The sequence below is a fragment of the Homo sapiens genome, chromosome 8 (assembly GCF_000001405.40).
Source record: "Homo sapiens chromosome 8, GRCh38.p14 Primary Assembly".
NCBI lineage: Eukaryota > Metazoa > Chordata > Mammalia > Primates > Hominidae > Homo > Homo sapiens.
In genome coordinates, this window is record NC_000008.11 from 119,192,271 (window position 1) to 119,219,266 (window position 26,996).

The following is a 26,996-nucleotide window of genomic DNA, read 5'->3' on the forward strand; positions in this document are numbered from 1 at the left end:
TCATAGCAGAATCATTTTAATAAATTTTAATATTAATTCAGAGAAAATATATTTTAACACAAATTTGTTTTAAAAATGTGAAATTATAGCAAATTCCATTCAGGTCATTAGTGACAGAATCCATTCATGGAATCAAAATATCAAGGAAGCCTATACAGCTCCAGTTTGCGGTGGGACTTGAGAAAGACAGATAAAGAATATTTTCACATTCTGCTTCACTTCAACAACCACCAGTGTCTCGATGGACAGGGCATGCAACTGGAAGAGAGTAGAACTAGGAGTTTCAAGACAGGGCTGCAAAATGTGACTCTTTCTGCCTCTGATTTCTCTGTGAGCATAAGTGTGTGTGTGTGTGTGTGTGTGAGAGAGAGAGAGAGAGAGACAGAGTATGGATAGTGTTATCAGTTATCAATTTCAGTCTGGGGGAATCCATAATCATTCATTTTCTGGGCCTTTTCTTCCCTTGACTTGCCCACTTCTCTTCCCCTTCCCAGACAAATAGAGAGAATGGTGTGCTGGGGTCAGCCTGTACCAACTCATGAGAGCTGTCAAATTTTTAAGTAAACTTGAAAGCTGCCTATGACAAAATTTATAGCCATCATTAAAATTTAAATTATATACATTTACAAGTAGATAAATTATAAAGTAATAAATATTCAAACTCAACAATTTTGAATTTTTCCCTGGAGCTTACCTACACCTGTCATTTCTGTAGAGTGTATGTACTACTGCACACCTCTTTGTAATTCCACCCTCAGTGACTTCACATCAGTAGCTTGAAATTGACAATGGCAGAAATATTCACACCACAGAATCAGCAGGTGCTAGAATTTAGAGCTCCCCTCTACCCCCAGTGGTTGTTAAACATTTACCAACACATCACTGGATAGAGGCCATCATGGGGAACTGAGCCATGGTGGGTAGATTCTATGTTTAGAGGGTGGCACTTAAGCTCTGACTGCTGTTGGAGCAGAGGAAACTGATAAGAGATGAGTCTGCAGAAGAAAACCCAAACAGATGTGAGATCAGTGCACTGGTATTCTGAAGAAGCCAGTGAGAGAGAAGTCAAGGCTCTGGCTAGGAGCTGTTGAGATGAGAATTTAGAAAACCCAACAAAAGCAGAATGTACAAAAAAGTAGACAGATGGTGAAACCACAGAAAAATTATTCAACTGAGTAGTTCAGCATGTTTTATCATTTGGGTATTAGACATGGACAAGGGAGAAGCATTTTGAAGCAGGTACACTGATTTCCACATTTATCTTGCATCACTTCAAACACAATTCTGTTCTTCTGAAATTACTTCTTTTCTCTCTATTCAAAGCTCTCTAACCCTCAATATGTGATCCGCATTTAAAAAGAAAGAAACTGGATTAAAATAATTTACACTGAGATATAATTAACATTCCTGAATACTAGGATCAATGTTCACACACACACACACATACACACACACACACAGAAAGAGAGAAAGGGGGGGGGTGTTGCTAGAATAGCTTTCATTGATAAAAACTATTGGAAATAGAATTAGCAGCAGATCGATAGGTTCCTAGTTGTAGCATAACCATGCGTAAGAGTCAGATGACCCCAAATTTTGAGCTGTGAAGTTTTAATCATGCTACATGATTAGAGAACCATTGTTTCCCCTTCCTTTGTGAGATTATCTGCTATGATGTGGCAGACACTTGGCTCCAACTGTATCCTGCTTGTTTATTATTCATGTGTAGTAAGAAACAAGAGTCTCTGTCCTGGGCATTGAGGTCTAAGCCTCGTAGTTTCAGTTATTTGATATATCAAACTAGCAGTAGGAATTGCACCATCAGGGTTTATGGTTGGAGACACATCAGTCTTCCCCTGGCATGATCGAGGGTTGGAGCTCAAGCCTTGCATTCAACTAGGATTGATCACCCTGAGAACTGGGACATAACCAGCTAGCACAGAGTTTGCACAAAGTCAGCTCCTTTTCTGGGAGGTCAGTCTGCAGGGGATCATTCTTGGACAAGTTTCTCCTTCTTTTTCATTGACACATATACCCCGGATTCCTCAAGAGATTCTTGGAATGTAATTGATGAGTTAATCAACACAGAATAATCTATATTAGATGACAGTTCAAGTAGTTTTCTTTTTTAAAAAAAAAAAAGAAGCCAAGACAAATAGGTCTTCTGCTGTCTTTTCCTCTGTCTTGTAGAACCCCTCATTGCCACCAGAACAGTTCTTCACACTTTAAAAACACCCAAGACAGGGATAACAGACATTTTTCCCCAGTGTCAACTGCTTCAAGGAAAAGTATGCTACAATTGATTACTGATGTCTGTCATGGGTATAGGGGTAAAAGGTTGTATGACACATGCTATATGTTGGTCATTTTACCTGTCTTTTTGGCAAATTATTCTTCTCACCTTAAAAATCATATTTTTTAGGCATCTGTCTCCTTAAAAACCACAAGTTAGACAAGGGAATGTTATTCAATGATAGAAAGAAATGAACTAAGTCATGAAAAGACATGAAGGAAACAAATGCTTATTATTAAGTGAAAGAAGCTAATGTGAAAAGGCAACATACTGTATAACTCTTTATGATGTTCTAGAAAAGGCAAAACTATGGAGACAAAAAAAAATCAGTAGTTGGGAGCAGGAGAAAAAAAGAGTGAATGGGTGGAGCACAGAGGATTTTTAGGGCAGTGAAACTACTATGTCTGATACTATAATGGTAAATACATATGTCCAAACTCATACAATGTACAAAACCAAGAGTGAACCCTTATGCAAACTATGGACTTTGGGTGATAATGATGTGTGAATACAGGTTCATCATTTGTAACAAATGTAACGACTCTGGTGGGGAATGTTGATAATGGAGTTGGCTATTCATGTCAGGGGGAACGGGGTATAGGAGAAATCTCTGTACCTTCCACTCACTTTTGCTGTAAAACTAAAACTGCTCTTAAAAATGAAGTCTTTTTTTTAAAAAAGAATAAAGGTCCAACAAGTTACTGATCTCTGCTATGATGTTTCCAACGGTTATGCCCTCATGTGTGATATAGTTAAAGGAAAATTAGCTAAATAGGCCGTATCTATCCTTGGAAAATTTTGTAGTTAGGCCAAATGTGGTTATGTCTAAGGCTTGAAAAACATTGATAGAACAAATTCACTGGGGAAAGATTTATTTCTCTCTTCTGGTGAGACAATGCTAAGTGTGAAATTGGCCATCTGAAATGTGATTTCCTCTGTAAAAGTAATGGCAACACCTGTTCCCTCTTGCCGTTGTAAACACCAATGCATTTCTTTATTTTATAGATTCCAAAGTCATTTTCTGTTGGATAAATTTAAACAATTACCAAAATGAAGAGGCAACATAATGTATATTTCAGGAATAATTTTTATGATGTGTACATTATTAGTAATGATGGTTAGCATTTATTGAGTGCTTACTATGAGTTAGGTACTGGGATAAGTCCTCTGTAATCTGCAGAATAGCACTGCCTGTCTACAAAAATGTGATTAAAATATAATAACAAGGAACTCATTAGAATACATAGTGTTCTGTAAAATTTGAAACTAGAATATTTCCCCACAAGTTTAATAATTTTTATTATCCTGGTATGGTGGCATACACCTGTAGTCCCAGCTACTTGGGAGGCCGAGGCAGGAGGATCACTTGAGCCCAGGAGTTCAACTCTGCAGTGAGCTATGATAGCACTACTGTACTCCAGCCTGGGCAACAGAGGGAGACTCCATCTCTTAAAAAATTTTTTTTAAAATAATGTGTTCACCCTCAGCCATACTTACCAAAATAACTGAGTACTCACTAAATATTTATTATGACATCTTATTTGTGAGCATTCTACAATTGAAATCACATCCTCTAATTCATTTTGCCTCACAATAACCTCAAAGGTGGATAAAGACAGGAAAATAAACCCCATTTTATGGATGAGGAATGCGCCTTAGGAAGGTTAAATAATTCGTTCAAGCTAAGCAAGTCTTTTCTCCAAAGTTTGTAAATTTACCCCCTCTCCATACTACTTTCCAATTTAGTTGCTGGTTTCAACATTTGTGTACCAATTTATTCTTTATGTAGCACCCTGAGTTACCTCTTTAAAGTGTGGGCTTCATAAGGTCACTCCTCTGATACTATAATGATAAATACATAAGTCTAAACTGATAGAATGTACTATACCAAGAGTGAACCCTTATGTAAATTATTGAGTTTGGATGATGATATGTGAATATAGGTTCATCATTTGTAACAAATGTACCACTCTGGTGGGGAATGTTGATAATGAAGTTGGCTATTCATGTGTGGGGGAACAGGATATATGAGGAATCACTTGAGTCCTGTAGTAATAAATATTTAGTGAGTGCTCAATTATTTTGCTAAGCAGGGTTGAGAGTGAATAAATTATTTTTAAAAACATGTTTAAAGAGATTGGGGTCTCTCTCTGCTGCCCAGGCTGGAGTACAGTAGTGCTATTAAAATGGGAAAGGTTCCTTTGTCCCCCTCATAGGGCATGCGATGGGGCTGTGGCTCGTTTCTTCAGTGCCCCGCTGCTGAAACCTCTAGGGGAGCATACAGATGGGCAGGCTGTGGGGCTCCAACCATGGCAGTGTCTGGGGTGAATGTTTACAGCTCCTGAAACCCCAGTGGGCATGCGTTACAGGGTGCTCTTTTAGTTTGCCATCTATAGGTGGCTTGTGTTAACCAGCTCAATTAGACCCTCTACCTTGTCGCAAGGATGGAGGGCTTTCTGTATCCTGGGTTCTCGCCTTGGTGTACTGGAAGAATCAGATCACATGTGGACTTGGAGAATGAGTGCAAAGTTTCATTGAGTGGAAGTAGCTCTCCGCTGATGGGGGAGCCAGAAGGGAGATGGTTTTCCCTGGAGTTGGGCAGCTCGGTAGCCAACTGCCTGGTGAAACTCCACCTCGTCCCACCGGTCGATGGCCTGCTGGCGTGCAGGTGCCTGTCGGTGTGCTCTTCTGCCAATGTTCTCCTCTGGACATCCTCTCCAAAACCAACTGCTTGCACCTTCTTCAGCTGATGTGCTCCTCACAACCTTGTGTCTCTGCTTTGCTAGGGTCTTGGGTTTTTATAGGTCCAGGATTGGGGTGTGGCAGGAAGGCAGAAGTGCCTGTCCTCACCTAGCTCCATGGGGGTGGAGCCCTAGCCAGGGACCGCCCTCCTCCACCCAGCACTTCCTTTCCCCACTTCCCTATCATTTAAAGGGACCACACTCTTCCCTTCCCAGCACTCCCGTCTCACTGTCATAACTCACCGCAGCCTTGAACTCCTGGACTCAAATGATCAAGTTCTTTTAGAGTTCTTAGGATTAAGTTCATAATCTGAAGCATGAACCATAAGGCTCTGGAGGACCAAAGCTTCATTTAACTCCTTGGCTTCATCCAAAATACATAGATTTCACTCAGTTTTTCACCACCTAGCTCCTTCTTGAATAAGAGCCTTCACATATGCTCTTCTCTTCATTTATAATGCCCCTTCCTCCTCCACTCTTCAGCAGTCTAGTTTTTATTCATCCTCAGGAGCACTTTGAGTCACTTACTCACCAAAGGTTTCCCCAACTTCCCACATTAGGTGAAGATTCTGTCATTCACTCATATGCTCTCCATATAAGGAAAACCTTTGACAAGACCTTTTAGGCTGCCCAGCATAAGGGCCAAGCCATTATTTGGCCAATTTTCCAAAGTATATGTTATGGTGAGAAGTAGACCCCAACTCTGGCGATGGAGGTCTAAAAGTAGATGCCTATGTTCCCGTCTTTCTTTTCAGCTAGATTACAGATGCATGAGCTGGGTTTACCAAGTCAGATGCACGTGCTTCCAGCTTTAAATGAGATGCTGGCAACCCAATGAAGCATGGACAGAAGAGCATTTATTCTCAAGGAGGTGACAGTGGCTGCACCGACATCCAGTTTTAAGGGATCCACAGAGATAGTAATGGCATTGGTACTGATGGTGGAATCCTTGATCCAGTTCTGGCAATGTAAGAAGTGCAAGGCACAGATTTTGGTGATGGGTGAAGTTGAGTGTAATGTTCTCACTAGACTGTTTCTGTAACTTAATTTTGGCCATGAGTTTGGCCATGTATCTGACCTTATTCCTGTCCACTTTCTGAGCTTGGTTTCTCAACCTTCCTGCCAAGTGCCTGAACTAATACTACATGTCTTTAAAATAAATTATATTTCTGTTTAAATCAGCCAGATTCAGTTTCTATTGCTTGCAGCTTAGAACTCTGACTGATAAAAAACATCCTTGCCCTTTACAACATTTACTGTAATTTTAAATAAATATTGATTTCACTGATAACTACGTCTCCCACTACACTATAAGCCTGATGACAATTAGGCCTCTGCCTATTGTGTGCACCACTGTATCTCTAGTGCCTGGCACAGATCTGTCACACAATAACCACAAAATAAATTTGCTGAATGAAAAAGTAAGTTAATATGTGTAAAACTCTCTCCACCTAAATGGTGGAGAGAGTAGGGGACAATAGGGCATACAAAGGAAGATCACAAACATAATCCTCCACAGGCCAGACACAGTGGCCCACACCTGTAATCTCAGCACTTTGGGAGGCCAAGGCAGGAGGATCACTTGATGCCAGAAGTTTGAGACCAGCCTGTGCAACATAGCAAGATCCTGTTTCTACAAAAAATTTAAAAATTAGCCAGGCATGGTGGCACACGCCTATAGTCCCAGCTACTCAGATGGCTAAGGCAGGAGGATAGCTTGGCCACAGGAGTTTAAGACTGCAGTAAACCATGATCATGCTACCACACTCCAGCCTGGATGACAGAGTGAAATCCTGTTTCTAAAAAAACCCCTAAAATTCTCAACAGAAATTTTAAAAAAATTCTCAATAGAAAACAGAAGGTTATAATGGATTAAAGTGATTATACACAGACAGACATATACATATGTCTGTCTATATATACACATATATACATGCAAACTCATGTGAGCCAAACTCATGAGGTCCATTATGAGCACCTATGGCCCATGTATATATGTGTATATATATGTCTGTATAGTGTTTCTTTCCCTGGGCAAAGTTGAGCCCCTGTGTATTTATATATGTCTATATATATGTATGTCTATATACTATGTATGTCTGTGTATAATCACTTTAATTCATTATACCTACATATATATGTATATGTGTGAGTTTGCATGTATATATGTGTATTGATATTATATATATATATACACACACATATGTGTGTGTGAGAGTGTGAGCTAATGAATGACCATTATGTAAGATAGAATGTGAAAAGTGTTGGAAAGATAGAAAGATCAAAAGGGAAAACAACAGAGGGCCTTTTGAAAGAGGTCCTTTTCAGGCAGGATCTTAAAGCACAGATCAAATTTGGATATTCAAAAGTTTAAGGAGGGAGTCTGGACAAATGGAGGGATGAACAAAAGCACAGAGATCAGAATGTGCAGAGTTATGAGGCATAACAAGTTGTCCAGTTTCTCATTTACTTAGGACTCAATGGGCAGCCATCGAAAGCTATTAGGAAGGAAAATGACATGTCTAGGCTGTGCTTTGATAAAGTCAATGTCCCAGAACTATTTAAAATTTACCAGCAGATAAAAGGACTAGACTCAATGAAATCAGATATTCAAAAAAAAAAAAAAAAGAAGAGGTAATAGGGCATTAAGTCATAGGAATAAATGCATAGGACAGATATATGAGTTATCAAAGAAGCAAGATTGCAAAGATATGAACGCTGGATATGGAAGTACAATAGAAGAAAGGTAGTTTTGTAAAATGAAATTAAAAGCTGAATAACTGGGAATATGGTAATAGCAAGAACAGAAGGAAGAAAAAAAAGTAAAAGGTGAAGTTTCGTAGAGAAAGATAAAATTGCCTATAAGATACATTGTATTAGTCTGTTCTCATGCTGCTAATAAAGACGTACCCGAGACCGGGTAATTTATAAAGGAAAGAGGTTTAATTGACTCACAGTTCCACATGGCTGGGGAGGCCTCACAATCATGGCAGAAGACGAAGGAGGAGCAAAGGGACATCTTACGTGGTGGCAGGGAAGAGAGCTTGAGGGGAACTCCCCTTTATAAAACCATCAGATCTCATGAGACTTACTATCACAAGAACAGCATGGGAAAGACCCACCCCTATGACTCAATTACCTCCCACTGGGCCCCTCCTACAACACATGGGAATTATGGGAGCTACAACTGAAGATGAGATTTGGGTAGAGACAGAGCCAATCTGTATCATATGCTGAGCTTAAAGTAGATGTGCATTCCAACAGACAATAGAAGTAGAGGTCTGAAGTTTGAGAGAGAAATCAGAGTTAGGAGCGTAGATTAGGGAGAGAAGCAGATAGTGTCATTGCTTTCCCAGATTCCTTCAAATCCCTTTACACCATTTCTGTGCACCTGTCTTCCCACTTTGGTGTGGATTCCATTGTCAACACCTAGGGCTCATTTTTGGAAGACAACCTTGAGCTCCTGGAGGTGCATTGCCTGCATGTGCAAAAAACTGGAAGAGTTTGGAGTCTATGCTCCTCCTTCCCTTTCCTCCTTAGCCTTTGACAGTGATAGATAGGCAAAGACATGAAGACATAAGAAAGCCTTGCATCAGATTGTGCAACACTGAGTCGTAACTTACATTCCAGTTTTTCTGCTGGATTAGGCTGACTTTTGCCTGAGGTCATACTCTTGCCTGGCTTCCTCTCCCTTGTCCTGCTTTACTTACCGTTTTTGTATGTTTGTTTGTTTTTTCAGACTCAGCACAAGAGTACTTCTTTAATCAATCACTTGCACATTAATCCATATCTCAGGGTCTGCCTCTGGGGAGCCAGGCTGAAGACAGGGAGTGGTTTGATAGTGTTGATCAAGTCTTCTATAATGTCACTGATATTCTACTTTTTTTTTTATCAATTATGAAAAAGAACCAATGAGATTTCTAATTGTAATTGTGGATTTCTGTACTTTTCCTTGCATCTCATTATTTTGCACCATCTATTGTTAACATTGTTATAAGGTGTATTAACATTTGGGAATTTTAAGCCCTCTTGATAAATTGACCCTTTTATCATTATGCAATAACATTCTTTATCTTTGATAACTTTCTGGCATTAAAACCCATTTAGCCTGATATTAATATAGCCCCTTGGGCTTTCTTTTGCTTATTTTTTTCATGGGATACCTATTTACCTCCTTTCTCTTTTAATATATTTGTCTTTATATTTAAAGTAAGTTTTTCTATAGATAGTGTATAGTTGTGTCTTGCTTTTTGTCAAATCTGATCATCTCTGCCTTTAAATTGAAGATTTGAAGGGAATTTGCATTTAATTATTGGTCTCATTTTACTATCTTCCTACTTTGTTTCATATATTCTTTGCTTCCTTTTTCATCTTTGCATGACTTCTTTTGGATTAATTTTATATCTCCCGTGATTCCTTTATATCTCCTTTGTTGACTTATTAGCTATAACTCTTTATTTCTTGTTTTGTAATTTATTTAGGGTTTATGGTATGCATCTTTAATTTTCCACAGTCTAACCTAACATACTATTACGCCACTTCAAATGGAGTATAAAAATTTTAGAACACTACATGTGGCATTTCCCTCTCAAGACCTTGGTGTTGTTGTCATCATATATTCTATTTTTACATATATTATAAATGTTAAACACACTAATAATTTTTGCTTTAATCAATGACAATAATTCAAATTTTTTAAATTTATAAAATGTCTTGTATTTATCCAAATATTCACACTTTGTGGCATTCTATTTCTTTGTGTTGATGCAAATTTCCAACTGGCATCAATTTATGTCTGCCTGAAAGACTTTATCATTTCCTACAGCACATTATCTGCTGCTATCAAATTTGTTCTGCTTCTCTGGATCTGAAAAAGTCTATATTTCATTTTGATTTTAAAGGACATTTTTCCTGTGTATAAAATTAAGGTCACAGTGTTTATTTTCTTTTAGCAGCTTAAAGATGGTCTACTCTCTGCTTGCCTAAATTGTTTCCTATAAGAAGTCTGTTACTATTCTTATCTTCATCACTCTGTATGTAATGTGTCTTTTTTTGTGGTATACTTAAAGATTTTCTCTTTATTATTTCTTATAGGCAATTTGATTATGATGTGCCTTGGTTTTGATTTCATGTTTTCAATTCTTAAGATTCATTGAGTTAATTCAATCTCTGGGTATAAATTACAACAATTTTGAAATCTCTTGGCCATATTTTTCCTGTGTCTTCCTCCCTTCTCCTTCTGAGACTCTAATTACAAATATATTAAAACACTTGGCCCAGCACAGTGGCTCATGCCTGTAATTCCAGCACTTTGGGAGGCCGAGGCGGGTGGATCACTTGAGGTCAGGAGTTTCAGATCAACCTGGCCATTATGGTGAAACCCCATTTCTACTAGAAACACAAAAATTAGCTAGGCGTGGTGGTGGGCACCTGTAATCCCCGCTACTCGGGAGGCTGAGGCAGGAGAATTTCTTGAACCTGGGAGGTAGAGGTTGCAGTGAGCTGAGATTGCACCACTGTACTGCATGCAGCCTGGGCAACAGAGTGAGACTCCATCTCAAACAAAAACAAAAACAAAAACTAAAACAAAAACAAACCACTTAATGTTATACTGCTGGCTAATGCTCTGTTCATTTTTTCAGCTATTTTTTCCTCTGTGTGTTTCATTTTAAATAGTTTCTATTTCTATATCTTCAAGGTAACTAATTTTCTTCTGCAGTGTCTAACCTGTTAATCCTCTGCAGGTTATCTTTCATCTCAGACATTGTAGTCTTCATATCTAGAAGTTGTTTGGATTTTTTAAAATGTCTTCTGTGTTTCTACATGATGTACTCTATATTTACTCTATTTTTCAACATAAAATACATTCATAACAACTGTCTTAATGTTCTTTTTACAATTCTTTTCACAATCGACTATGTGATTTCTGAGTCTGCTTGTAATGAATGATTATATCCTCACTATGTATCATATTTCCTGCTTCTTCGTATGCCTGGCAATTTGTAATTGGATGTCAGACACTGTGAACCTTATCTTGATTGCTGGACATTTTTGTATTCCTATAATATTCTTGAGCATTGTTCTGTGGTTCATTTGAATTTTTTGATCCTTCTGATGCTTTTTATAAAGCTTTGTAAAGCAGAATGAAAGCTGCCTCTTTTTTGTTTGTTTTTTGTTTTTTGTCTAAGGTTGACTTTGCCCCAGTACTGAGGCAATACTCTTCAGAATATTCTATCCAGTGCTCCATTAATTAGGAGATTTTCCACTCTGAATGGTGGAAATGTGAACTATTCCTGGTCCTGCATGAATTCCTGGGATTATTCCACTGCTCCTTTGGAATGTTTCTGCCCTGGCCTTGGGTAAGTTAGTCACCTTCATGTGCTAATCAGCACTCAATTGAAGATTTAATAAAGGGGACCTTTGCTGGCCTCCCAGTGTTTATCTGTATGCAGCTCTTTTCTCCCCAGTACTCTGTGAACTCTAGCTTGGTTGGCCTCCTCAAATTCCCAGCTTCACCACCTCATCTCATGGAGACTGCTAGCTTCCACCAGTGTCTCCCCTCCCTGTGCTCTGAAAACTCTCCCCAAGCTGGGGAAATCGCAGGGCTCACCTCATTTTTTCCCATCTCCAGTGGATCACTGTTCTGTGTTACCTGAAGTACAATGTCTGAAACTATTGTTTCATATATTTCCTCTGGGATTTCAGCTGTTTTGTGCAAGGAAGGTTAATCTAGTCCTGGTTATTGTATTTTGGACTGGAATTACTTGTTGCTGTTTTTGATGATAAGGGAAGCATGCATATTCAAAGAGAAAGGCTGTGTATAAAGCAAAAATTGAACATTGAGGAGACAGAAAAGAAAATTAAGAATGAATTTCCTAAGAAAAATACAAAGGGGAAATGATAAAAAGCTGAGATGGGGCTCAACTTTGCCTAGGAAAAGAAACACTTCTTATGAAACATGAAGTAGCATAGGAACAACGATGAAGCATAGAAATTTAGATGCAGTGTTCACTTCGTCAGCTGATTTTACTTGAGTTTCTATTATATAATGTGAATAAAACTCAGCTGTTTCCTCCAGTGGGGAAGAAGGGGATGGAGGAGGGGAAGAGTGAAGTGTGATTCCCAGCACGGTGCCTCCCCACTCCACTGCCAAAAAAGAAATCTTTCCAAATCCTGTAACTCCTGAGCTTTTCATATTCTTGATAGAATTGTGGGTTTATAGATTGTCTAAGGAGATCACAGTCGGGCCACTTTAAAACTTCTGGTGGTCTGATTCACAGCTCATGTTGGTATCTGATATCTACCATCTCCTGGTGCCTCCACTGAACTTTTTGATTTAATACCCTGTTACACAACACTAGCAAGCAATAGGAGACAAGTAAAAACACAATTTCAATTCAATGATATACGTTCTCTGTGTGGATTATGCACAGCAGGTTATAGAAACACACTGGGTGACAGGGGGCCCTACATAATCTTGAATGGGCAGAGAAAGGCTGCCAGAAATATCTGTCCCTGTGACCCAAAATATACAGAAAATAGGTTGAGGATATGGGAGTGGTAAGAAGAAAGGATATCCTGCAAAAGAGAGGAGAATGTGTAAAGGTTGGAGGCAGGAGGTATTGAAGATGTAGGTGGATCAACAAGGCTGGTGAGGTGGGAGGGCTCATCAGAAGCCACTTGCCAGAAATACCTTGAATGCACTCCAGGGCATCTGTAATTGATCCTGAGAAAAGTAAGGAATTGGAGGCGTTTTAAGTAGAGGGGTGACTGATAAATTTTCTGTTGAGAGATCATTCAGATAGCAGTGCAGAGAATATAAGAGAGGGAAATTCACTGTCAGAAGCATATTCCTTCTGAGAAGAGCATTCACTGTGAGAGGGATAGTGAGTCAGAACAGTGGAATGGAAAGTGCATATATTCTAGAAAATAAAATGGTAGAACTGCCAGAACCTGGTGACTGATTAAATATGTGTCATGAGAAGGAGGTACCAAGGGAAACACCCAGGTGTTTGTCTTGGATAACTGGATTGATGGCAGTGTGAAACAAGTATTACTGGCTAGATGTCCTAAAACTTCTTGTAAGCTAAAAGAAACTATGGAAGGGTGGAACAGTCTAGATTTGTTTTCATTCGCTGAACATAAGCCTACTTGTGACAGGCACAAGGACAGGTAAAACAAAAGAAGCTATGGGATAAGAACTGAGAGAAATATTGCCAGGCATGGGGGTGGCAGTGGGGGAGGCGGGGGGAGGTAAAAGGAAAATGACCTTTTAGGGGATTAGATCACATGAATTAGTAGTGGAACCAAGAGTCTTCATTATGACCTTCTTTCAGCAACCCTGGGCAGTGTGATGAATGATTCAGAGAGGGCAGATGTAGATTGTGGGTTGAACTCTAGCTGAAGAATAAGGAACGGTGAGAGTAAGTTTAGAGTCAAGTACAAGATGGGAAGAAATGTGGGATCAATACGAGCATCACGAAAATGCCTTCCCATAAGCACAGGCTGGAAGGGGAAGCTAGAAAAGCTAGAATGGGGCCAATGAGAGAATGCAAGGGATGGTAAGGCTGGAGGCCAAAGAATTGGGGATGAAAGAGAGAAACCAATAGGAGACAGTCATCAGAATGTCAGTGTCCAAGAGAATGGAAGCATAAAAATTCCCAATAATAAGGTGAGAATTTATTGACTGTAGCAAGTCGTTTTGAGTCAAGATCATTAAAAATATAACAACATGAATGTTGACATTCCATAAAAATGGAGTCCAAAGGAAGTCTATGAGCAGGGTTAAAGTTATGCTGGAAGTCAGGAACCACCGGAACAGGTTGGGAAAAGAGCAGAAAGTTGAAACTGTTAAGAGCTCATGGTTAGTGTCCTGGAGGAAGAGGCAGAGGAGTGGGGTGGAGTGGAGCTAAGTGCGTTTTCTTCCTTTGATTTTAGAGGTGTTGCCTTCACTAGAAGGAAACTGGTATTATCAAGAACAAACAGGTGTTGGTAGCGATCATAAGAGAAAAAAGTGTTCTAGAAAAGAGTTCTCTTTCAGCCAGGCACAGTGGCTCACACCTGTAATCCCAGCACTTTGGGAGGCTGAGGTGGGTGGATCACCAGGTCAGGAGTTCGAGACCAGCCTGGCCAACATAGTGAAACCCTGTCTCTACTAAAAATACTAAAATTAGCCCGGTGTGGTGGCAGGTGCCTGTATTCCCAGCTACTCAGGAGGCTGAGGCAGGAGAATTGCTTGATCCCAGGAGGCAGAGATTGCAGTGAGCCAAGACCACACTATTGCACTTCAGCCTAGGAGACAGAGTAAGACTCTGTCTCGAAAAAAAAAAAAAGTGTTCTTTTTCAAGCAGATAATATGTTACAATAACAGAGCGCTCATTGACAACCTTTTTCATGCCACTGGTCACTGTGGAAGCAGGAAGGAGAGGCAAAGCAAAGATGGCTGAGGATATGCAGTACAGCAAGGAGGGTGCAGTAAGAGACCCAGTTGAAAGTGTTCTCCTAGGTGGCAATGCTAAAATAAGCTCACTTGAGGCTCTTCTGAATCATTAGCCCTTCTAGAAACTCCAAGGACGTATTAAATTCACTCACTAAAATATTTTGGGCATAGCGTAGTTGCTGATCATCTCCATGATTACTTCTTTGAAGTCTTTCCTTTGAACATTTTTTAAGTGCTTACTGAGAATTCTTAGGCAGAAAATAAAACAGAAAGATCATCCCGTGCCAGAGTCTGAATACAGACAGGGCTCATCGATCAAACAAATCCATGCAGAAAACTTAAAATTTCCTATTAAATAAACACCACACATTAAATATCAGAAAGTGGTGACTAAGAGGTGGGGAGAGGAGGGATATACAGAAGGTTTCACCCACACCCTGTTTTGTGGTTTTTACCCGGATGCCACAACCACACCTATGAGTTTCACTTATTAAAATAATAGAGAAGTAGAGTAACTAGAATCTGCTGAGCAGAGCATAGTGCTAAATACAGTTCCTCAGAGACTGAACCTGACAGGCAAGGTCAGGATTCAACTTGGAGAATGTCTGATGAGATTAGCCAATGTTTTTTTCCAACGTGGTCTACCTGTGTGTGCTGATGCATGTAGATTTGGTAGATTTGCTCATCTTTAGTAGACGAGAAAATTAAGCTCATCTCCTCTGTTGAACTTACAAAATGTTGACGTTAAAACCAACGATAAAATGGAGATAAATGGGGATAAACTAGAGCAGGAAATTCGAACCATACATAGACTTAAAAAAAAAATCCCCTTAAGCCATTAAAAGGCAATAAGCAATTAGTTTTATACCAGTGAAATCAATAATTAAAAGTTCTACTTAAAAAAATATAACCCATGCAACATCGTGTGTCCACTGAGCAGTGATAGGCGCCTGTGTAAGGAAAAGAGCTCTCATCATATCAGCTAGCATTTAAGGAGCTTACTGTGCGCTCAACTCTTTTCATGTTATATGATCTAATGTGAGCATCTATGCCGGTGGATTTCACATCCCCGTTTCACGGACGAGGACACCTCCGGTGACCTGCAGGGACCCCGCGCCAGTGGCTGCTGCAGCTGACTCATCCGACTCCCACGCGCGACGCTGCCCTAGTGGCGTTTAAAAAAATCCCACTCGAGTCCCATTTAAAACATAAGCACCCCACTTTTTAAGTGTGACTGGTGACCTCGATTTTACCTTCTGAGTCACAGCACCAAGACCTGTGTATCTGTCAAACTGAGCACAGTGGGCGAGGGCGCGCTGTGAGAGCTGGGGAGAAGACAGGTGGAGAGCACAGGTGCAAACTAAGGGGAGGGCTAGAAGGTAAAAATAGCGATCAGGGGTATGGGGGTGCGCATGGAGACGCCCGCGGAGCGCTGGCGCTGGCCAGCGGAGCAGGAGGTGAGGTCGGCGGAGCTGGGAGGACCGCGCCTGGCGGCTGCAATAGCCGCACCTGTGCACGTGATCGCGAGCGGCTCGGGCGCCAGGGCGGAGCGGCGCTCACCTGGGCCCACGTGACGGGGCGGGGCTCGAGGAGCCCCACGGCCACGCCTCCTCCCGCGCGGCGCGCCCGGAGCCCGCGGAGCTGAGCGGCGGCGGCGGCGGCGGCAGGAGCCCGGGAGGCGGAGGCGGGAGGCGGCGGCGGCGCGCGGAGACGCAGCAGCGGCAGCGGCAGCATGTCGGCCGGCGGAGCGTCAGTCCCGCCGCCCCCGAACCCCGCCGTGTCCTTCCCGCCGCCCCGGGTCACCCTGCCCGCCGGCCCCGACATCCTGCGGACCTACTCGGGCGCCTTCGTCTGCCTGGAGATTGTAAGTGGGGCCGCCGGAGCGAGGGTCGCGCGGGGAGCGAGGACAGGCGGCGGCATCCTTGTCCCCCGGGCTGTCTTCCTCTGCGTCCGCCCCCGGCCTCCTTCCCTTCGACGTGGCTTTGTCCTGCGCTCCCTCCCGGGGTCCTCTCGGTGCCCCGCGCCGCCGCCCGGGCCCTCCCTCCTAGCACCTGTTACGCGGGCACCTGCTCCCCCGCGGGCGACGGAAATTGCCTGGGGAGGGCGAGTAGGCGGCCCGGCAGGGCCGAACATTGGGGACGTGGAGGAAAGAAAGGTGTTGGGGCTCAGAGGCGCCTTTAGAAACCCAGGGCATGGCCAGGGGCCGCGCTTGGCCGGAGCGAGCTCCTGGCTCTCGGCCTCGCCTGTTGCTAACCTGCCATTTTGTTGGGTGGTGCAAAGGTGTAGCCGATGACTGGGTGACCTGGTGGCTGCCACGCTGTGGAAAGTGGGGGCGGGAGGCAACAGGAAGAGGAAGAGGGCTGAGGACTTGAACATGCTTTTTCCCCACTCACCCTTGCCATCATTAGTGGCCTTTGGATTGGAAAGAGGAGCTGGGCAGGAGGCAGGGCAAGGAGAAAGGTGAGTTATGTGCCATGCCCTGGGCAGTTTCTAATCCAGTGGGTGTGACAATGGTGGGGGAAAGATGGAAACGTGGCTCTCGAGTTCTTCTCTGCCTGCCTTTGCACCTTCTCACTTCCTGGCCTCCTTACGCAACTCCAAACCTTTTTAGCACACTTTGTTGGGCCCAAGTAAAGGTGGGGTTACCTGCCTGTCGTGCAGCCTTTTTAGGTAGCACTTGAACTTTTTAAATGGAATTTTATGGAGTTGGAAACTTTCGAAGCTCCTTGTGGACAAGTAGATAATGTGCAAATATAAATTGGGCAACCTGAGGTTGCATCATGCCTGAGAATGGCAAATAAAAAGTGAAATGTTAGCGAGTTAGTGCCTTTCCGGCAGGCTGGTATTGTTTGCTCGGTTTAGGATTTTCATCTCTCCCCTCACCCTGGCCTTTGAGCTTGCATAACCTTTATTTGGGTCGCTTTGGTTTCACTTTTGTGCTTGTGGAGCTGGATCACCTTGTGAGCACTGTTCTATTATGCTCAGGTAGCCACACCACCCTAAGTTAAGTTTAGCCCGGATTTGAATCTGAAAGAGGAGACGTGAGTGAGTTGCAGGCTATGACATCAGTAATGGGATCCTGACTGCGAGGCTGGTTTGAGTTTGAGCCTGGTTCAGAAGCATCTGAGTGCTTGGGATGAGGTGCAGGCATCCATGTGGGAAGAGCGGAGAGACGATGGCATTGGGCTGGCTGCCTTGCTGTGGGAGGGAGACACGTTTAGAACTGGAAGATCTGCAAAGAACGATTTCTTAGGTTCTCGGCTACTTTATTCCATGTTCTGCAAGCTCCAGTTTTTTGCCTACCTCTTTGAGAAGTTTTTGCCATATCCGCATTCCACCTGTACTAGAATTTACAGACAGTTCATTGAAATACTTTCTAAACTTCAGTACTTTTGTCTTTTCTTAAGCAATAATATACATGAAATTTCAAATTTGATATTCTGGTTATATTTTTCTAATGTTTATTCAAATATATGTATGTATGTATGTAAAGATACATGTATGTGTATATGTAAATATATATACATGTGTATATGCAAAGAAGGCTTATCCATATGCCCTCTAATCAAATACCATCTCAAGAACCTGTAGTCATGTCAGACTTTTAGGAAACAAGGCCTAATTCTGGGGGAAAAGAATAGAAAGTGACTTAGTCAATTTCCCCCTCCCCCTCCCCATTATATCTTTTTTAAATCTAGCCCAGAGGTTAGTTCTCAATTCTTGCTGTACTTAATAACTTGAACAGCTTTTTAAAATAACTGTTACCAGCCCAGACTAATTAAATCAGAATCTCTGGGGGAGTGCCAGAGTTCACTAGTTATTTTTTAAAGCTTCCCTGGTGATTCTAATATTCAGAGCCTAGAGAAGACAGCTCTGCTTTCAGAGATGTGAATTCTCTCTATCCGCTAAAACTGCCACCACTCCCCAACCTAGGAGGGATTCCAGACTCACAGAAGTGTCCAATCTAATCCTCTTATCTCATTTCCTCTGGCTTCTTACATCCTGAAACATGTCTCACACTCTTGGCTACGTAGAACAGCATCACTTCCAAAAGCTTATTAGTTTGCTTCTCTCTTTTTATGGCCAACTCAATAAGTTTACATTTTAGGCCCCCTTTATCTCCTTTACTTGAATATCAATCTCCCCCACCCCATTGAAAAATGACCAAAATGTTCCAATGAAACTGGTGACGTTAGAGAAACAAAACAAGAGACCACACTAGAGTCAAACTATAGCTCCTCGGCTCTCATCCTTTAGGACTGTTTAGAGATATTGGTTTACATGCTTTAAGAGAGCAGAGATCAAAGCTGGCTTGTTACCCCTCCATTTAGAATACTCATCTTGAGTGGATGTACAGATAGAAGCTAAGTGAACACTTTTGAAGCAACTTAGCTCCTAGATGTCTCAATTTCCATCTAATTTTCTGATTCTTTTAAAATTGGCCATCTCCCATGGCTCCTCCTCAGAAATTCCTCAACCTGTAAAGTAAATGTGAGAATTTCCCAGGCACTGTCCTAAATGCTAAGTGATCTCCATTCTGGGGACCCATTATTTTAACCTCTGCCGGTGTTTCTGGATATCCTCAAACTCCATTTTAATTTTGACCTTCTGTTCAAATTCGTTTGTCTTTAAGAGTTCTTCATTTCTGTCCCATTGCCTTCTGAAACTTAACATGTGAAAATTGTACCTGACAAAGGAGGACTGGGCTATCAACAGTTGACTACGCTATTGACACCATGCTCTTGGAGTTTGGTTCTCACACTAACCATTTAACTTGGCTCAAAGTATTCATTCCCAATTCCCCTTAACGTATTCTATTCACAGCCTGTCAGATATAAGCCATTTGTTGGGAGATATTACAAAATATATAAATAGTGCCAGCCTACGAGCACCAGGAAAAGCATTATAGCACTGGCTTCTTAAGTGGAGAATATTACAATCTCACGTGCATAGTGATTTTTTTTTTTTTTTTTTTGAGATAGGGAGATAAGGTGTGTTCCACTCCTGGATACCTAATTGTCAGCTCTTTGGTTTTGGGCTTAGCAATACTTACCAATGTATGCTTGCCACAGAGTTTAATACTAAGTTAATATTGCAAAGCTAAGCCTTTTAGCTTAGAATGGAAGCCATCACCTTCAAAATTCGCACTTTCAAAATCTCACAGTTTTTTGAGTGAATATTTTATAAAAATCACTCATCGGGTATTTACTGAATACCTACTATGTGCAAGGCACTCCTCTGGGAACAAAGATGTTTAAACCCTTCCTCACCAGAAAGACCTATAACCTAGTTGAGAGTATAGTCACAAAAGTAACTACCATTCAGGGAAGAAAGAATTAAGTATGGGAAGTGAACTGCAGCTAAAACATTTTCCAGGTGGGTCTATCTACTTTAAAAAATAACATGGGATCATCTGCACTATTGGGCTGAACAAGATATTTAGGATCCCTGCTCTCAATGAGCTTATCTTGTAAAATGCACAAGAAAAATTGAATTTTTAATAGTATTAATCACGAAAAAGAATACAGATAATCATTGAATTCATTGTGTTTTATTTTGCAGTTTTAGTGTTTAAGAAACTACTTATATTCCCCAAGTTATTCATTCACATTTATCTTTGTGGGAGATACTCTAGGATTCTTATTCACATGCTTCTAACTGCAGTGTTTTGGATGCCATAGTAATTTTCATTTACTCAGCTTATAATTAAGAACATACTATGCATCAAGCCTTCTTTTATGCCCTGAAAATAGAGTAACTAACATGGCTCCTGCCCTTAAAAGAAATTACTGTTTGGTGGAATATAAAGTCAAGAAAGAATTACCATGCTGTGTATGAAGTGCTAATATAGGTTTATAAAAAGTATTGTGGAACAGCAGGATAGAGTACATCTGACTTCTGGAGAGGTCAGAACAGGCAGCTTTAATGAGGTGGGGACATTTGAGGTTAGCCTTCAATAATGAGCCATGGTTCATTAGAAAATGGGAAAGAGAATTCCAGGTAGAAACAAGGACACGTACAAACACAGAGACAAGAAGGACAATGGCAAGAACGTTCTGTCAGTTGTGAGATTTTGGTGGGCCGTGGCAGAAAAAGGAAAAACAGCAGGTAGGACTCAGGTTCTGGTTTGCTGAGAAATGCTAGGCCAAGGCATTGGATTTATTGTCTGATGGAAAGCTGTGAAGGACAGAGAGAAACTTGATCCAGCTTGTGTCTTAGAAACCTTTGAGTGATGAAGTTTGGTTGTAAAACAAAGGGACTGAAGGCAGGAAGAGCAGTTAGGGGGCTTATTGCAATAGTTTAGATAAGGGATGAAAAGAACCTGAAATAGAACCAATGAAAGAAGGATGGAGAAGGAGAGAGAGAGGTTTGAGGTTTGGGAAGTCAATTAAGTATGTAAAGTTTGACTTGCCCCAAAGTGATACCTAGACTAAACTTAAATATAAGATGTAACTCAGAGGAATTATGCCAGAAAAACAAATGTTAATGAAAGGATGATTGTGAGGGAGGGACTTTAGGGGAGGCAGGTTCAGTCATGCAGATAAATCTATGAAAGGGACTTCAGGTTATTTTCAACTGAGAGCTTTGACTTTGGACTAGTAACATGTATATGTTCTGATGTATAGAGTTTATTGCCTGGAAAATGTTGACTGTGAAGGGACATTGCTTATTTGCAGTGTGCAAGAGGGAGCTGTCCATGGACATAGTTGTCCCCTAAATGGGTTTTAAAACTGTAGGTATTTTTTTTCCTTTGCCTCTGGATTAAAAATCTTCATCCACATTAAAAGAATCTTTAGGCCGGGTGCAGTGGCTCATGCCTGTAATCCTAGCACTTTGGGAGGCTGAAGCAGGTGGATCACCTGAGGTCAGGAGTTCAAGACCAGCCTGACCAACATGGTGAAACCCCCATCTCTACTAAAAATACAAAATTAGCCAGGTGTGGTGGCACATGACTGTAATCCCAGCTACTTGGGAGGCCGTGGCAGGAGAATTGCTTGAACCTGGGAGGCAGAGTTGCAGTGAGCCAAGATCGCACCATCACCCTCCAGCCTGGGAAATAAGAGCGAAACTACATCCCCAAAATAATAAATGAATAAATAAATAACCTTTAAAGTTTCATAAGGGAAAATAAACCAATGCCCCTGCCAGAGATTATTATCAACAATCATTTGCTCCGACTGGCAGTCCTTTAAAAAAAAATACGAAGAACTGAAATATGGAAAACTTTAAACCAAGTAGCTGAAAAGATTCACCTTGAGCTCCAAAGGAAAAAGTCATAGAGAAGAGATTTGTTTTGTAGAGCCTGATAGAAATGTTGTACGTGGTGGTAGGAGCTGTGGACATGGTGTATTTGCAGTGATATGGCTGAATAGAAATGACCCTGTAATGACAAAGGACAGGAACCAGGTTGGCATACCCAGTATCATGCACATGCAGTACTTAACAAATGCTACTTGTTTGTTCTATAGTACAAACTGAGCAGTATGTGAAAATAGTCTGGAGACATTGGCTGGAGTGGAGAAGGGCAGCTTGGGAGTAGATGCCCTCTTAAATCTTGCCCAACATGTAAACTGCCATAATTCTTCTCCAGGTTTCTGCACTTTAACTTGAATTTCCTAAGTGTTCTATTTTATATAAGAGTACCATATCCTTTTATAGACAACATATATAACAATCTCAACTTCTGTATAATAGCTATGAGAAGGAGGAAGGTAAAAAGAAAGGAAAGAGGCAGTGATTTATACGGGTCTGGCCAATATCAGGGCATTGGCACGCAGGAACAGCTTTAAACTAAAAGTGATAACTAGTTACCTGCAAACATGAAAAGGGAATTTTCAAAATCGAGAGGAATTATTATAAAGAAGAATAAAAAGAACCAGAACATATTTCTCCTCTGTAATATGAGCTTTCCATTTTAGGGTCGGTGTCAGCTATTTAAGCAGCTGAATTGGAGGTTTAGGTCACATGGGGAGGAAGAAAGTATAACTCTCTATAGCACTCTCAGACATATTTTTAAAGCCTTCAAATGTAAAGCTAAAAAGTAGAACTTCTTTTGCAATGAGTATTAACGTATTTTGGTCATAAGCCTCTTATGTGTATGTCATTTCTCATTACATCCCAGAATTTGTTCTGTTTTCCTAACTAACTAAATAAATAAACACCTTGCTGCCTTGCATCTCTAATGCAGGTCTATGCCAGGGCCAGTCCAGAAGCAGTTTGGACAGAAGTCAGCATGGTTAGAGGACAGATGGGGACTGATGAGGGGAGCAGGAGGCACTGGAAGAAGGCACAAGATTTACCCTGGTCAAAAGTTCCAGTGGCAGTTACAATAGAAATAGGTCATGTGGGCAAATTTGGGGCCGAAAAAAGATTTAAAATTGGGTGTCATGAATTCAACTGGCAAGAGGTACAAAGTTTCCCATAACTTTCCATCTCAGCCTCCTGAGATCTGGTACTAGGTGGTGGGTGTCACCAATAATAACTTGAGAATTGAGAAGTACATATTCTCGCTTCACTCGTTTTCATGCCTATTTTTGGACATCCACCATGAACCAGGGAGTGAGCTGGGCTCCAGACCGGAGTGTGTTCCTAGCATCCCAAGCTGCACTCCTAGAGCATTCTCTTTTGGAACCATTCATTACACATGCCGGTTGGTTTCCATTCATTTCAAGGAGGATGGATTGAGGACCTTCTGTAGAAAGCACCACCCTGGGTAATGAGCATACGGAGATGTTGAAGGCAATGTCACCGACTCTGACGTCACAGTCTAGTGGGTGAAATGGGCATGTAGATCCATGATTTTGATCCAGTTGTAATTGCTGTGGAGAATACACGCGTCAGTAACCGTGGAAGCACCGAGGGATGGCACCTGGCCAGGGAAGTCTTTCTGGAAAACATGGTAACTGGAGTTTAGTTATGCAGCAGAATTTTTACTGGCAGCATGCTAGGCAGAAACATGGTCAAGTGTGATCATTTCTCTATGCTCAGGGGATGAGGGGTAGAGGCTGGAATGCAAAGAGAGGGTGGTAGGAAAAGAAGCATTACAGGGAAGATGATGAGCTTGGGGAGGGGGGCAGCAGTATGCCTTGTAGTGGTACCAGTGATCTACAGTCGCATTGTGAATGAATCCATACTTGTGTGGGCTGCTTTGTAAATACATCTACCAGTTATATTGTATGTGTTGGCTAAGTATGTTTCTAGTTTAAGGAAATCTTTCAAAATGCGAATTGTATGTAAAATATAGCTAATTGTAGATAATCTTTTTTTTTCTAGCTGATAAATTTCTGAATATACTGAACACTTCTATAACCATGATGTTTCCTGTGCAGCACCCCATAAGTAAACATCCATTAAAATAGAAGGGGTTACAAGTAGATAAAGTGTTCTGAACTTCTGGGTGGGGGGGCCACATACCCCTTTGTGATTCTGATGAAAGGTGTGGACTGTGTCCTCAGAAAAATGCATATGTACTTGTCCACCCAATTTTATATGATTTTAGGAAATCATATGGAATATGGGTAGAAACCCTGCTTTAGAATGAACACTAAACCATGAGAGGGGCAGAATAGCAGAATGTTAAAATCATAAGTTCTGGAAGCCAATTGCCAAGTTCAAATTTCAGGTCTAACACTTATTAACTATATAACTAGGAACAAGTTATGAATGGATTTGTACCTCAATTAACTTACCTATAAAGTAGGAATAATAATGTTGTCTCTCAAGGTCTGTGAGGATTAAATTGGCACAAATAAAACCCTTATAACGGTGCTTATAACATAAGAGCTCAGTAAATGTTAAGTACTATTTCTGCTATCACCATTAGCTTCAACTTCTTACTCTAACTCTACAAGCCAGACTGGAAGACAAATATTTTTTTGCTTTTCCTCTATGTTTGCTGGGTGTTCATTCTCACTGCAGTAGAATAATGAATTATCCAATATATAGATAATAGAATTAGAAGGAGGGAGCTTAATACGGAAAGTTCTAAATAGTGTTTTCCCTTATGGGTAGTTTAGCCAGCCTTTATCCTTTCAAATTCACTTACCTTTTCCTGTTCTCATTCCAAACATTAATTGAAAATAGGTCACAGTAGAAATTAGCCGGTTTACTTTGTGGGTATACTAAGATGGAGGTGTCAAATTGGTTTGAAAAAATTTTTAGCTGTCAGAGGGTATGTTTAAAAGCAGGTAATTAGGAAATAAGTGACATTTGAAAAGAAAAAGGGCATTTGCAAAAGGAACCCTTTGGGAACATAAGACCGTCCAAACAGGAGATGAGTTAAGAATCTGTAATTCATGCACCCAGAATTGCAAGAGTTGCTACTTGCTCAAGAGCATGTTTTCCCGTGGGACTATGTATTTTTCCCATTCCACAGTTTCTAGTGAAAACATGTCTTCACATCAAACCCTGAGGATTCAGTTTAGTGTGATTTGTGGATAAATACTTCCGTGGTTTTCTTATGGTAGGGTTTCAGCCAAGTCATACCTTTCTGGTCTGCAGAGACCAAGCAAACATAACAAACATGTGTTAAACCAGAAAGAAGATCAGTTGTTTTAGGAATGTGTAGCAATTTAATAACTGCAACTCAGAATATATTTGAGTACTTCTGGTATGTACCCAGTACACCTAAAGTTGGGTTAAGAAGATAAAAGGTGACTGAGTCACCGGGAGATGCTGATACCTACTCCTAGGAGGTTTTTACCTTTGTATTGCCTGGAAGCAAAGGTAGTCTTTTTGTTAGAGCTTGAGGTTTGACGTCATAAGCACTGACTTAGTTTCTTAAAGAAATTTCAAATTGAGGTGCCTTTGGCTATTTTATACATAATTATTGGATTTTTTAGAACACTAGAAAGCAGTGGAAGGCAGTGGCAGGGAAGGGGTCAGAATATGGATTCAGATCCAAGACGATGAGAATAACGTGGGCGAAACATATAATAGTTCCGAATACCTTTCTTCACAGTGTGTACTCTGCAGTTGCTACTGTATTTATCATCTGTTCTCTGTCAGATTTAACCATTTTTGTGTTCTGCTTTTTACTTCTAAAAATATGGCCACCTCCAGAGTCGTCTCTACTGAACAGGAATGCTGATAATTACACCGTTTTGCAAACACTCTAAGCTCACTAATGCCCGGAATTAGAGGAAGTGAATATACTGAGCATTGGTCATCTCAATTTTTTAAGTTCAGTTTTTTAACTTAAAAAAACTGGAGCCAAGTTTAAGTTGGAGCCAAGTTGGGAAGCTCAAGAAGAAAAGTAGCTTTTGTCAAAAGGAAATCACAAAGTAGGGAATAATAACTGTGTCAAGGCCAGAGTGATCCATACACCAGTATGACAGTCTCAAAATGAGGATGGTGGCCCTCCAAAGTGGGCTCAATTATGTTCTCTGGCCCATCCTCTCTCTTCCAAAGCGAGCCTGGATTTCACAGAATCTCAGCTCTAGGGATGTATCATATGTATTTACTTGAGTGAGAGAGAGGGGGCATTCCTACACTCCTTCCCTCTCCCCTTTCCATGCAGCACATACCCCACAAGTGAGGAGGTGAATCTGACTCCTGTTCATGCAGCATTTAGTTTCCCTTCCAAGCCTTTGAGGTGTTTGAAGGGCTGTAATTTTGAGTACGATAAGAACGGTTAGTCTATACTATTTTACAGTATAGCCTCTGCTGTCAAAGCCTTGGTCTGTCTTGAAAGCTTACTCTGAAGCCTGCCTCCCCTGCCTACCTTTCCAGATTCTTCCCATTATATTTCTTCTCTCCTCTCCCCTCCCAGCCTCTCAGAACACACTGTGTTGAGCTCTTTTTATAGCACCCACCGCAATCTGCTCCTGAATCAGTTTAATAGTGTCTATTTCTTCCTTATTTCAAGCTCCTGGAGATGGAACCTTGCCTTTTTTGTTTTTTCTTGAGTGTTCTTCTATAGTACCTAGCAGTAGGTTCGGGGCTGGCCTGTTTGAGGTCCAGTCTGGGTTTAGTAAATGCTGTGTTGAATTCCAAAGGATCATATAGCCTCCTCTTTAGAGGTGTGAATGTATCATCATCCCTAACTCATTATGTTTATCTATTTGGCTCTGCCTGTCCCTAACAAACAGTGGCCAATTGCTTTTTATTATCCTTTATATTTGCACATAGGTTCTCAGGAAATAACTCAGAAGAGATACTTAATGTATATTTCTTAAACTGTATTTAAAGTTATGTAGGTTATTCTTTGTGGGAGAGTAAGAAAAGACTACCAGAAAGAAGAAAGTGGAAAAAAAGGAAAGATTGATCCACTGAAGACATACTTATATCGCCTTCAGATATTTATTTAATAGTATGTAAAGGTAAATAATATTAGGAACAAGTTTTTTCTTTTATAGGCACTGATAAGGTGGTGGTTAAATGTTTAAGATGCACTGATATTCATTAGATTTATTTCATAACACTTTCTGGATCAATTGTTAATTTTTTATTTGACTTTAGGAGTTGAGGTATACACCACAACTATACATTTTTTTAGACTGGTGATTTGATTATCATTGATCAAGTG

At 40.9% G+C, this 26,996-nt stretch overlaps 1 protein-coding gene and 2 long non-coding RNA genes across 7 annotated transcripts in view, besides 1 other annotated feature; 2 read left to right on the plus strand and 1 right to left on the minus strand.

Moving 5' to 3' along the window:
* The window catches only part of LOC105375725 (uncharacterized), a 51,661-nt gene extending 40,277 nt beyond the window's left edge, over positions 1–11,384 (plus strand). The window contains exon 3 of the long non-coding RNA XR_928585.3: positions 11,220–11,384. This is a non-coding gene — a long non-coding RNA (uncharacterized LOC105375725). The remainder of the gene's footprint in view (positions 1–11,219) is intronic.
* Positions 14,232–15,431: an enhancer, noted in NCBI's record as "P300/CBP strongly-dependent group 1 enhancer chr8:120218741-120219940 (GRCh37/hg19 assembly coordinates)". NCBI's record gives its function as "activates an origin of replication core promoter dependent on BRD2, BRD4, P300/CBP, MED14 and CDK7 cofactors, with strong dependence on P300/CBP, by STARR-seq in HCT116 cells {active_cell/tissue: HCT116}" and the evidence as "EXISTENCE:reporter gene assay evidence [ECO:0000049][PMID:35650434]".
* The window catches only part of MAL2 (mal, T cell differentiation protein 2), a 37,311-nt gene continuing 26,407 nt past the window's right edge, over positions 16,093–26,996 (plus strand). For both annotated transcript variants that reach the window (NM_052886.3, XM_011516807.3), the window contains exon 1: positions 16,093–16,334. In NM_052886.3, coding sequence (NP_443118.1) covers positions 16,203–16,334 — 132 coding nt within the window. In that variant the 5' untranslated portion in view covers positions 16,093–16,202. The remainder of the gene's footprint in view (positions 16,335–26,996) is intronic.
* Positions 22,353–26,996, minus strand: part of MAL2-AS1 (MAL2 antisense RNA 1) — a 32,235-nt gene continuing 27,591 nt past the window's right edge. For 3 of the 4 annotated variants that reach the window (NR_149111.1, NR_149113.1, NR_149114.1), the window contains one exon: positions 22,353–23,357. This is a non-coding gene — a long non-coding RNA (MAL2 antisense RNA 1). The remainder of the gene's footprint in view (positions 23,358–26,996) is intronic. The other variant, NR_149112.1, reaches the window with a different exon arrangement.